The 13,977-nt window shown below is 41.1% G+C and overlaps 1 long non-coding RNA gene across 1 annotated transcript in view; it reads right to left on the bottom strand.

Annotated features, from left to right (window-relative positions):
• Positions 1–218: 218 nt before the first annotated feature.
• LOC124905219 (uncharacterized) overlaps positions 219–13,977 on the bottom strand; it is a 31,800-nt gene continuing 18,041 nt past the window's right edge. The window contains exon 2 of the long non-coding RNA XR_007068337.1: positions 219–2,485. This is a non-coding gene — a long non-coding RNA (uncharacterized LOC124905219). The remainder of the gene's footprint in view (positions 2,486–13,977) is intronic.

Here is a 13,977-nt window from a genome sequence, read left to right as displayed (position 1 = left end):
CCTGTCTCAGTCTCCTGAGTAGCTGAGACTACATGCATGCGCCACCACACCTGGCTAATTTTTGTGTTTTTAGTAGAGACGGGGTTTCACCATGTTGGCCAGGCTGATCTTGAACTCCTGACCTCAGGTGGTCTGCCCGCCTTGGCCTCACAAAGTGCTGGGATTACAGGCGTGAGCCATTGCGCCTGGCCTTAATACAATTTTTGAAAATAAAAAGCTATAGAAGAGATTCACTTTATTTTTGCCATTTAAACCCAAACATCTTTAATATTTTGTTGTGCTTTCATCTAATCCTTCCTCTGCAGAGTTATAATTATTTATGTGCATATCTTCATAAACTCTACTGTGTATGCAATTTTTATTTTTTTACTAAACATATCATAGGATTTTTCTGTTATTACTTTTTTATAATCTGCAGTTTTCATTTCTCTCAAAAATTACATTGTGTTCCTTCTGATCATAAAAGTGGTTTGTTTCTTACTAACGAGAATTCAAAATTCTGAAAGGCTCAAAGAAGAGACTAAAGAATGAACTCTAATTTCACCATAGAGAGAGAACCACCTTAACACTCTTTTACATTTTAAGACACTTTAAATATGCTAATGTATTTCTTTTCAGTCCTGTTTTCTTTACACATGCACACATTTTTCTTTCAACAAAATTGGGATCATAGTATACATACAATATTTTGATCATGTCCTTTTCCTTAAAATATTATAAATAGTTTCCTACACTATTAGAACACCATTTTTTTGTATTTATGTGATATTATAACATATAAAGAGCTATCACTTATCTAACTCATTAATTTGGAACCTTTAGTTTCCTTCTAGGTTTTTCATTTTTTAAAGTACTGTTTTAATGCACAGTTTTGCAAATAAGCCTCTTGCCAAATTTCTGATTATTACCTTAGGATAAGTTCCCAGAGAGTGAATTACTGGGGCAAAGAGTATGAACTTTGAAAAGACACTTTATGGAGATTGCTAAATTGCTTTCTGGAATGATTGTATCAGTTATTTTTTATTTTTATTTTTGTTTTTTTAAGAGGCGGGTCTCGCTTTGTTGCCCAGGCTGGAATGCAGTAGTGCAATCACAGCTCACTGCAGCCTCATACTCCTGGGCTCAAGCAATCCTCCCACTTCAGCCTCCCGAGTAGTTCAGACTATGGGCAAGAGCCACTGCACCTGGCTCAATGGTACCAATTTATTCTCTCATCTGCAGGATGTAAGGGTGCTTATCCATTTTAATGACTGCATACATCAAGTAGATGTGTAGTATATTCCCTAAACATTTATATACTATTTCTGGTTCATAAATAAGCCTGCTAAAAACATCTCTGGAACGTGGCATTAGAGACCTTGGACCTGGACTGAATTTCTATGTCACCTACTCTATGAAATCTTGTGCATTTGACCTCAGTTTCTTTATCTGTAAATGCAGGAAAACTGGTGCCTCAAACAATTGTGATGTGGAGTGACTCATTATTAATTGAGTCAAATTTTTATGTAATGGTATTGCCTGTTTGCATTTTGATTTTCTTCAGTTTTCTCATTTAATAAAATTATTTGATCTATAATCTGTCTTGATTATATGATTCCTTTTTTCAGCTCTTGAGGTTCTGTCAATTAAAACAGAAAGTTGCAGAAATCACAGACAAAATCAACTTGCTAATATTTCCTTGTTATTTATTGGCACTCAGAATATAGTTAAGAGGGTTTCTTAAAAGGCAGAGTGCAAGTAAAATAAGTGGATTAACTTTCATTTACCTCAGTTCTCCTCTTTAACCACTTTCCTTAAAACTAATTTAAATAAAATGCACAGAAAGCCAGTTCTTTGACTTTGTAGGCTACATATGCATTATACACTGAATGCCCAGGTAGAATGAAAGAGAAGCCTGGGAAGTGGGGATTGTTTCTTAAGAAGATAGTCTTGGTAGCTCCCTGAAGCACCAAACCTGCTTCTGCAAAGAGGCTGATCCTTTTTCCTGGCCTTCTATTAAAGGATACTTCCCAGGGCTATTTTTTTGCCTCTGAATTCAGGCAAGCAGGAAGATTGTTTAATCCAGTGTGTCCCAAACCCTGCTGTGGATCCAAGTCACTTGGGAGTGACTCTGTATGTATGTGCGTGCACGCACACACTTGTGTGTCTGTGTGTGTATGAAACTACAGATACCCTGGCCCAACTGCAAAGATATTCGTGAGTGGGCTAGGACCTGAAAATTAGCATTTTCAACAGCTTTCCAGGTGATTCTGATGCAACAGATCCACAGACCAGTCATCAACAAACCACACATTTTACAGATGGGGAAAGGGAGACCAAGAATGGCTGAATACACTTGCTCAAGGTCACATAGGTGTGCTTCCAGTGAAGACTAAAACAACTCCTTGTTTCTTCTGATTTGATGATCAATGATGTAGCTTCAACATAGTCAAACCTTGAGTGTGGAGGTGCTCATCCTTCCTGGAGAGACAAACTGAAGAAAGTTCTGGGATGCAGGAAGGACAAAAAAACAAAATGTTTAACATTGCACTTTGATAGCATCTGAAAAAATTTTTTTCCAACTAATTTTGCTTATTTGGATGACTGGTCTAAGTTCCATTTTGGCCAGCTTTCCCCACCTCACTTTTAGTTTCACAGGTTTTATATACTGTCATGCAGCAGAGAACCTTTTGATAGTTAATGATTGAGCATGATTCACTATCAGCTGAATATTTATTAAAAGGACATGATGACTAAATGCAATGTGGTATCCTGAATCAGATCCTGGAATAGAAAAAGAAAAACATCAATGACAAAACTAGTGAGATCTGAATGAAGTTTGTAGTTTAATAATAGTAATGTATCAATGCCAATTTCTCAGTTTTGACAAATGTACCACTGTTATGCAAGATGTTAGCATTAGGGGGGAACTGGATGACAAGCATACAGGAACTCTGCAACTTCTCTGTAAATATAAAATGATTCTAAACAAAGTTTATTTTTAAAAGTAGTCTTAAGAACAGATCAGAGCAGTCAAGAAACAATGAAAAATTGCTAATCAAAGTGCTGACTCCCTCACACACTGGGGGAAAATTCTTTAGGGAGGTGACTCCTTGATTTGTGTGAAAAATCTACTACTTAGGAGAAAAAGCATGTTATATCCCAGAAAGATAACCTGGCTGAGTTGGGGAGGGGCATTTTAATTTCAAGAGAATCAAATGGTGATTTTTTTCTTTGACAGCACATTTCTTTTGTGCAATTTTCATTAAGGTAATCGTATTAGGCCATTCTTGCATTGTTTTGAAGAAATACCTGAGACTGGGTAATTTATAAAGAAAAGAGGTTTAATTGGCTCACAGTTCCACAGGCTGAACAGGAATCATGGCACTGGACATCTGCTCCACTTCCGATGAGGACTCAGAAAGCTTACAATCATGGCAGAAGGCGAAGGGGGAGCAGGCACGTCACATGGTGAAAGCAGGTGAAACAACTTTGTTGTTGTTAAGTAATCAACAAAGATTGGAATCACCTCATAAGGGTGATCATATAGAGTAGGCTACAGTGAATAAACAGCTTAATCTGGAGGATAATTATATTACTTACATGCAATTTTAAAAAGTAATATTTCACAAAGGTTAGTCATTCTCATTGGGTTAGATTGGCCCACATTGGAGAAGGGGCCTTCACTTCATGCTATAAGATGTGAGGAGGCTCAAAAGTCTTCAAACCTCGTGCCCTCCTCCCATCTTCCTATTACAGTACCTGAGGCATCACCATAGTTCATTCTTATTCAATAAATATCTACTGAGTACATTAATAATAACAGCTAAAACCTATGGAACAATTACTATGGGCCAGGTGATTTACATGGATTCTCTTCATTCTCACATCAAAGACAGAGGCATGGATGAAGCATTATCTTTGCTTCTACAAATGGGGAAACTGACTCAGACTGGTGAAGAAACTTGTCCGAAGTCAGATTGGAAGTATGTGGCAGAGCTGGATGTTGAAGGTGTTTTTATCTGAATCTCTAACTTTGGACCGTAATAGTGAAATGCATGGCACCACAGTGAACTATGCCACAGGGGCAGAGGGCAAATGACGAAGAGGGAAGATTGTCTGTGTGACAGCAGGAGCGAGGAGCAAGGGGCAGCATGGTTGGCTGGATTCATAAATTTGAGAGCCAACCACAGAGTGATACCAGGTCATCTAAGTCATAGGAAAAGAAAACATCTGCGAGGGAAAGGAGAGGCAAGATGTGGACAGTTTTGAAGACACCCACATGTAGGTGGCAGGAATGGAGGAGTGCATTAGGGAAATGGTGTCAGAGGAGGTAAATATTGGAATCCTAAATGCAAAGAGAATTCCAGGCAGTCATCAAATACTTCTGAGAGGTGAGATGTGAAGGAGAACTGCTAAGAGGAAGTGGCATTCACTACCGAGACGTTCCCTTATGTCATTGGAAAGCAGGCCAGAAGGATGAGGGCGTCAGCTCTAGACTCAGGACAAAGGAGGCAAGGAAGGGTGAGCAAGGAGAGGGAGCAAGGATGGGGTGCGTCTACTGTCAGTTTGGTGTGGAAGGTAAGCAGAGAGGAAAGATGATGCAATTTAAGGATTTTGGGGGTTGAGAAGCTCTGAGAGGTGGAGGATCTACTGTCATGTGAGAGAGGGATGAGATGCAAGGAGGAGGAAGGTCACTGATGCAGCAGGAGACAGAGCTCACAGGATGGGGGTGGGGATCAGAGACACAATGAGCAGAGGAGGAAGCAACAGTTATTCCAGTTGGGGGTTGGGTGCATCTGTGGAAAGGTGTGCTCAGCAGACCTGTTCCTCTCTCAGAGAACATTCCTTCCCCTTCCTGTTCTGCATGCTCTTCTGTCTCCTGGTTTCTGCATAAGACAGGCAGGCTCAGAATTGTTACCGCAATCTGGGGTAGAGAGGACTCTGAGCAGCTGGGGCAGCCTGAGGGCACTGTCCACTGTGAGTGGCATCAGAGGGTTGAGGCCGTGACAGTTGTTGTCCCTGGTTCCCATTCGGGCCCTGTTTCAGATCAGCAGGTGCGATTTCACCAAGGGGCTCTGCTTTTAGTCTTTTACTAACACCACAAAATCACATTATCCCACTGTTCATTAGGTTACTTTCTCTAATATTATAATCACAATTGTATACCCACATATACGTCACCATTCACTTAGGGTAATCAGTTTTAATGACACTCATTTCAGTTTCTTTTATAAATCACATGCTTTTATGAGATAATGGAGGAGAAACATCTAATTTTGATCTAAGACAAACGAAAAGTGAATGCACGTGTTCTTTAATGTATTTTTCTTGGCTCATCATGTCCATTACTTAAAGAGGAAAGAATATTTCCTGGTTTCTTTTTTAGAACTAAATGAGGCAAAAGTACAGTGGATTTTGAATACCAAAACATTAGCTGTAATGTACTGCAAACAAATAATAAACACAACTCATCCTTAGTGGGTTTTGCACAAATCTCAATTGACTAGAAATCAGTGTTTGTGAACTACATGGGTCATATCCTCCTAATGTATTAAGAAGAAAAATCTTAACACTACACCCTCTTTATGTAAGCAAAATCAAACTCTGAGCCTGCTATGTTGTCTGCAGAAAATAGAATAAAATGTCTTTCATCCAGCAAACATATACTGAATTCCTATTATGCACCAGGCAATGTACAGAGATAGATGAAGCACATTCCCTGATCTTCAGCAGATGCATGCTCTAGTTGAGGAAGCAGGCATGTTCACAGATTCACACACTAGATTGCTCTAAGTGCAGGATAAAGGCAATTACGAGGTGAAATGGGAACGTCAAGGAGGAAGTATTATCTGTGGAGTGTGTCTGTGTGTGTAGAGTGATGGGGTTGGTCAGAGAGTCTCACAGAATCTGTGGTGATAGTGTTTGAGCTAAGTCTGTCCTGATGAATCCCCAGGGAGAGAAGAGGAAGAAGGATATCTTGCCAGTCTTTCCCCATTTATAGAATGCTCTCCTCTTTGCCCAAGGGCTTACTTTTCTCCAAAACCAAATACAAACTCAGTATGGCATAAGAAGCTCTATAAAATATGGTCCCAGACTCCCTTTAGGACCCTTTTTGGTCACCTACTCTATGTCACACTGTACTTGTCTATTTTTAGAATGCACTCTTTGATGGTTCCTTTCTTTTGCATGGACTAGTCCCATCACCGACAATACTCATCTGCCTGTTTTCAGCTTGGCAAGATGACCCTTGTTGGCGTAGTACGCAGAGCACCTTAGCAACAACCCTGGCTGCCACCATGTTCTCCCTGGTGGAGACACAGGTTGGTCAGCTTAATGAGCATGAACCACTCCCTGTCTTCAGACTGAGCTGATGGGATGTGGTCCTGATGCCCGGGTCTTTACTGTGGAAAGACGGCTCCTAAACCTGTACTCAGTTTCATTTGCAGACATTTTGGATCTTTTTGCTTTTAGCCTTCCAAACCAACTACTGTGGGGAAACTGAGGTAGGATGATGCTTTCCTCTGGTCTTATCACAGATAGGCATATTATAATTTTCTGTTAAGATTGCCCCAAAATTAAGCCTTATATTTTGTCTATTTATCAAAATTGCCTTCTGTTAAGTGAAGATTTGGCCCTCGTTACAAAAAGAAATCTGATACCTTTCAATATTGCCCATTAAGCCTCTCCTGAATGAATGCAAACGTTTGGACTAAGGCCTACTGTCTCGTTCATTTCGGCTTTAATTCTAGGTGCCCCCTTATGTCCTCTTCAGCATTTGCCAGAACAGAATTAAAGCAAAATAAGTTAAATACCATGGAATTGATACAAAATGCATAGAAGAAGAGGACTGAAATGAAGCCTTTTGAAGGAATGTTATTCCTCACTGTAATAGCTTTTACTTCTGTTAAGAATTAGTACATGATGGCTCCCACAATTGGATGAATTACACAAATGCTAATGTCAACATCAGACATAATTTAGAAGAGATATGGAGAAGCATTTTCTGTTTTTAAATGCCAAAACCATTTCTCATCCATCAGGTAATAATTTTTCAATTTTCTTTTCAAAAATATAGTACATTGTCAGTGCTACTGAAGTCATCATTGATTTCGCAGCTATGAAACCATGGAAAGCCAAAGAACCTTCATTGTAAGTTGGAACTTGAAAACACGAATAAGACACCACTTCCCCAATAACCACAAAATCAGTAGATGTCTATAGCAGATGGAGCTGAACCACACAGCTACTACATAATCTTGGTCTTGGATGAGTGCCAGGTGGCAATGAAGTTGGTCTTAAGTGACCACCAAGGGCTCAAATAGGTTGCTTTATGAAAAAAAAAATGATGCTTTCAATTAAATGTCAAAGATAATTACATGGGAAACATCAGAGACCTTCAGAAGGAGGGCAGAAAGATTACATTCCACTAACCTAACACTCCATTACCAAACTTTCCATATTTTGGAGTTTTGACAGAAACTTAGTTGTTCCAGGAGAGAATGGCACTCCACATTCATGGAAAAGCACAAGAAAGAGGCTTTAGAGTAAATATCACTTTCCCAATAACACGGGGGTTATTTAAGGTCACAAAAGTGTGAAATGGCAGAATTTTTCTGCTTTTGATCTCAGCCAACACCTAGGCCCCTGTTAAAATTATTGAACCTGGACATCATTCTTAGGGCAAAAACAAAAATAAAATATTCCAATAATCACACCCCTTCACTCTAGAACTGACAGATCCTTTCCCTGCCATTTTTATTGGATTCATTTCTCCCCCTCCTCCAAGTCCAACTAGCCGTCCATTATTGGTGAAATGTCTAGGAGCTATGACTTCAGGCTGCAGTCTTTGGGCATCATGTAAGTGACTGGGGTCCCCTGGTGGCTTGGAGGACCCTGCTGTTTGCCCTCTGGATTTATTTGCAAAGTGTTGGGCTAGACCCAGCCTAATCCCTGTTCACAGCTAGGCCTGCTAAAGAAGACTGGAAAGAAGCTGTACTTAGTGGAGTCAGTCAGAAGTTTGTCCACTACCCTCAGAAAAAACAAAAAGAAGGTTCTTACTATGACCAGCCCCGGGCCAGTCAAAGCAAATTTGAGAAGCTGGAAACGTTTGTCTTTGGAGCTCCATTGACGATTTTAGGGACCCCCATTTTTCCCCTCTGTGTTCTAGGTCTAGATACCCTAGAAAGCACCTTAAATTATAAAGCCATATTTTCCAAACTCTTTCAGGGACTACTAGATCAATGAGATATTAACAGGCATTTTGTGAACAATGAATTCCCTGACAAGTATGTTTAAGAAACTTTTTTGGTTTGGGAGGCTAAGGCGGGCGGATCACGAGGTCAGGAGATCGAGACCATCCTGGCTAACACGGTGAACCCCCGTCTCTACTAAAAATACAAAAAATTAGTGGGGCGTGGTGGCAGGCACCTGTAGTCCCAGCTACTGGGGAGGCTGAGGCAGGAGAATGGCGTGAACCCGGGAGGCAAAGGTTGCAGTGAGCCGAGATCACACCACTGCACTCCAGCCTGGAGGACAGAGCGAGACTCTGTCTCAAAAAAGAAAAAATGAAAAAAAAACTCTTTTTTTTTTTTTTTTTTTGAGACGGGGTCTTTCTCTGTCACCCCTGCTGGAGAGCAGTGATGCAATCACAGCTCGCTACAGCCTTGAACTCCTGGGCTCAAATGGTTCTCCTGACTCAGCTTCCCAAGTAATTGGTACTACAGGCACATGCCACCATGCCAACTAATTTTTAAATTTTTTGTAAAGACAGGGTCTTACTACATTGTCCAGGTTGATTTCGAACTACTGGGTTCAAGCGATCCTCCCTCTTCAGCCTCCAAAAGATTACAGGCTTGAGCCACTGCACCTGGCCAAGAAACTCTTTTTTAAAAAATATATATTTTAGGTTTAGGAGTACACACACAGGTTTGTTATATAGGTAAACAGCATGTCACAGGGGTTTGTTGTACAGATTATTTTGTCATCCAGGTAATAAGCATAGTACTCAATAGGTAGTTTTTTGATCCTTTCCTTCCTCCTGTCCTCCTCCCTCAAGTAGGCCCTGGTGTCTATTGTCCCCTTCTTTGCGTCCATGTGTTCTTGTTGTTTAGCTACCACTTATGTAAGTAAGAACATGTGGTATTTGGTTTTCTGTTCCTGCATAAATTCACTTAGGATAATGGCCTCCAGCTCCATCCATGTTGCTGAAAAGGACATGATCTCATTCTTTTTTATGGCTGCATAGTATTCCATGGTGTATATGTACCACATTTTTTTCAATCCAGTCTATTACAGATAGGCATTTAGGTTGATTCCATGTTTTTGCTGTTGTGAATAGTTCTGCAATGAACAGAAGCGTGCATATGTCTTTATGGTAGAATGATTTATATTTATTTGAGTATATACCCAAAATAGAATTGCTAGGCAAGAAACTTTTTATAATGTGCTACGTCCCCCTATGGGAGATGTACAATGTCAATTAGCAATAAAGATTCTGAGAAGCCCTGCAATTACAAATACCTGTCTCTTTTATTTAACTCAGCTTTTCCTATATTTCTTTATCCATGAAGCACTTTCTTCACATAATAGCTGATAATGTATTGCAAAACTACTATTCCGTGAAGTTCAATTGTAGATCAAGAGGAAGTTCCCAAAGACATGCAAACATTTTGATACCACTTGGAAATTTTGTAGGGGTTGGCATCTTGTCACAGATTTGTGATTTCGAGTAACTCATCTGTGTAGCAATGTAACTTTCTCTATAACTGATCTCAACCTATTCACGAGTCCCCATTTCCACTGATGAAGAAATTACTAAACCCTGCCTCTTTAAGATGTCTCATTCTTTTCTGGTTAAAAACTTAATTTCTTTTGGGTAATTAATTACTCATTTGGCTCCGCATTTCAGCTAGTGTATTTCAAGTTCAATATCCCTGTCAGTTTGGGCATGGTGTGCGCATGCACACACACACACACACACACACACACACACACACACCCCTATCAAGTCTGCTCTCAAGAATTTTCTTCCCCCACCACACTTCCTACCTTCCTTACCCCCTTTTCCCATCTCTTTTTCTCTTCTTCCACTTTCTCCTCTTCTTCCCCTCTCCTCTTTTCTTCTTTCTCCTCCTTGAGGACTGCAGTTTTGTAGGAAGCAATTCCCCTGTATGGGTAGCTGTTTTGCCACATTGCATGCCCAGAGAGCAGAGTATGTCATTGCAGAGTATGTCATTGAGACCATTGTATTCTTTAGAAACATGTAAGGAAATCATGTTAATTATTTTTATTTCCTGCTGAGAAAACTGTATCTTAGAGGTAAAATGTCAAAGTGACTGGACACTCTCATGATTCCAGGTAATTATAAGAAATAAATAAAAATCTCTTAAAAATTTGCTTTAATATAGGCTGGGCATGGTGGCTCATGCCTGTAATCCCAGCACTTTGGGAGGCCGAGGTAGGAGGATTGCTTCAGCCTAAGAATTCAGGACCAGCCTGAGCAACATAGCGAGACCTCGTCTCTACAAAAAATAAATTTGCTGGATATGGTGGCATTAGCTAGTAGTCCCAGCTGCTCCAGAGGCTGAAGTGTGAGGATCACTTGAGTCCAGGAGTGCAAGGCTGCACTGAGCCTTGATCACACCACTGTAGTGCAGCCTGGGCAATAGAGCAAGACTGTCTCAATAAAAATTTTTGCTTTAGGTGGGGCACAGTGGCTTACGCCTGTAATCCCAGCACTTTGGGAGGCCGAGGTGGGTGGATCACCTGAGGTCAGGAGTTCGAGACCAGCCTGGCCAACATGGTGAAACCCCATCTCTACTAAAAATACAAAAATTAACTGGGCATGGTGGTGCACACCTGTAATCCCAGCTACTCAGGAGGCTGAGGCAGGAGAATCGCTTGAACTCGGGAGGCGGAGGTTGCAGTGAGCCGAGATCATGTCATTGCACTCCAGCCTGGGTGACAGAGTGAGACTCCGTCTCAAAAAAAAAAATTTTTTTTTGCTTTAATATAGGAAGTATAGCAAAACTCACCACATTGAATATTTCATGGACATCAGCCATAATGCCACACCATTGCAGGGAAGTTGAGAAACATCATTTTTAATTATTTTTCATTTTATTGTAGGAAGCTTTGATCCAATTTCTTTATACAGCTGGTGAAAAGCTCTGTGTATCTAAGATGACAGCAGATTGAACAATAGGGAAGGTAACTGAGTTTTGTATATGAAGACAAACTAAACTAACCCACAGGAATCTGTTATTTATATGATGTAGGATCTGGCTTCGTTATTCTGTAAAATGCCTGCTATTTGTGTTCATATTTTTTCTGTTCTGTAAGGGTTTTCAGGAAGTAAGTTAACAAACACCTGTTGTTTTAAGAAAATTATTTAAAGAAATTGATTTTTGTGTGTATAGGCCAACTACTGCAGCAGGTATTGAACCCATGTTTTCTTGCCACCTGTTCACATAATCAACTAAGAGATCTAAACATCTGTCCTCAAGTGGGGAGGAAACTGCAAAGGATGATGGTAGGGAAGTGTAAAGTCAGTCACCACCACACCACAGGGGATCTCTCTTTTCTAAAACAATCTCTCTAATAGGGACACTTTGTCAATTAAAATCTAGGAGAACATGGCCGGGGGTGGTGGCTCATGCCTGTAGTCCCAGCACTTTGGGAGGCCAAGGTGTGGATCACTTGAGGTCAGGAGTTCGAGATCAGCCTGGCCAACGTGATGAAACCCTGTCTCTACTAAAAATACAAAAATTAGCCGGGCGTGGTGGCGAGTGTCTGCAATCCCAGCTACTGGGGAGGCTAAGGCATGAGAATTGTTTGAATTCAGGAGGCAGAGGTTGTAGTCAGCCACGATTGTGCCACTACACTGCAGCCTGGGCAACACACAGGGAGACACCGTCTTAAAAAAATAATGTAGGAGAACATAACAAGGCAGATGAAGAAAATCTATCTACACTATTCAATAAGTTGCATGGGTTTTGGAGTGGAAATGTTTTTGTACTCACAAACCTATGTAGTCATCTGAGGCTCATGTGTTTAAAGAAGTGGCAATGTTAACTGAGAGATGGAGAAAGTGAGAAAATCCTGCTTACTCCAGGTGGGTGTCTCACTTGCCTAACCAAACATTGGACAAAGATCTCAATGGCCAGGCTCTTCCCCACTCATCAGAAGTAAAGACTTGAAACTGATTTTCAGAACATTGTCTCTACATATAATGATGCTTAACTGTTGTTCTGAAAGCTCTAAAGTTTGAGCTGAACCTGGTAATCAGTATAGATCATGTTGAATACCCAAGACTTAGGGCTCAGAGTGACTTGGATGCCCATCCCACCTGATATGGTTTGGATCTGTGTACCAATCAAATCTAATATAGAATTGTAATCCCCAGTGTTGGAGGTGGTGCCTGGTGGGAGGTGACTGGATCGTGGGGGTGGTCCTTTATGAATGGCTTAGCACCATACCCTCAGTGCTGGTCTCATAATAGTGAGTGAGTTATCTTGAGATCTGGTTGTTTAAAAATGCGTACCACCTCCCCCCCACCTTGCTCCTACTCTATACCATGTAAAAAGCCTGGGTCCCCTTTCACCTTCCTCCATGATTGCAAGTTTCCTGAGGCCAACCCAGAAGCTGAGCAGATAGCTTCATGCTTCCTGTACAGTCTGTGGAACTGTTAGCCAATTAAACTTCTTTTCTTTATAAATTACCCAGTTTCAGGTATTTCTTTATAGCAACGTGAGAACGAACTAATACACCACCTCTGTAGCTGGCCAGTTCTCTGAACCTGGGCAAGTGGTTTAACCTCAGTTTTGTCATTTTTTAAAATGGGGATAACAAGAGTACTTTTTTTTTTTTTGTAACAACTTATTTAAGTAAGGAATGCAAAGCCCTGAGCACTTAGGAACATATGAATATGTTAGCTAGTGGAGAGCAGTAGGGAGTAGCAGTGGGTCCCATCAAAATCTGTGTATGTGGATCCTTGATAAACTCCAAAGCCCAGGGCTACTTTGGGATTGTTAGAACCAGTACAAACCCAAGTCACTCTGAAGACAGGCCTAGGTCCGTTCCCTAGTGAGAAGGCAGTCCCAGGTCCACACCTCCAGGAGGACAAGCAGCCTGAATGATCAATGGCTTTGCTTTTACTGTCTCTGAAGCCTAGATTAATTTTGGACTTAGAATCTATCTGTGGGACAGGGGTGGGAGCTGAAAGCCCCTTGAGTTTTATTGCAAAATTTATCATTCATGTTTACTTTTCTCTGGAGAAGACCCTTGATTTCATCGAATTCTCAAACCTAGGTCTTTTCACAATCCACAAAAGCTTGAGAAGGGCTGCTGTAGTCTCTTGAAGAATGATTTACTTCCTCCCTAGAGCTCTTATGTGGGGACACAGATCCCTTCATTATTCCCTACCCCCAGCTCCAATGCTATCTGTTCAAGCCTGCATTAGTCCATTTGCGTTGCTGTAAAGAATGCCTGAGACAGGATAATTTATAAAGAAAAGAGGTGTATTTTGGCTCGTGGTTCTGCAGGCTGTACCGGAAGCATGGTGCCAGCATCTGCTTCTGGTGAGGGCTTCAGGAAGCTTGCAATCATGGCGGAAGGTGAAGAGGGAGAAGGCATTGCACGGTGAGAGAGGGAGCTAGAAAGACAGCAGGGAGGTGCCACACACTTTTAAACAACCAAATCTCACATGAACTACCAGACCAAGAATTCACTCATCACCAACGGGATGGCGCTAAGCCATTCATGAGGGATCTGCCCCTGGCGTGATCCAAATACCTCCCACCAGGCCCCACCTCCAACAATGGGGATTACATTTAAACACGAGATTTGCAGGGGGCAAACATCCAAATCATCTCAATGCCCTAGTCCTAGACTTGTTCCTCTGATTTTGTTTGTTCTCTTGGCATCAGCCTTACTCTCATCTCTAGTCTGTCGTCTCTTAAACGTCTTTTCAAACTCTTTCCATCATTTTATCCAACC

The sequence above is a fragment of the Homo sapiens genome, chromosome X (genome assembly GCF_000001405.40).
Source record: "Homo sapiens chromosome X, GRCh38.p14 Primary Assembly".
In the NCBI taxonomy this organism is placed as follows: domain Eukaryota; kingdom Metazoa; phylum Chordata; class Mammalia; order Primates; family Hominidae; genus Homo; species Homo sapiens.
Note: the sequence above shows the minus strand (reverse complement) of the source record. Positions and strands in the feature narration are given on the sequence as shown.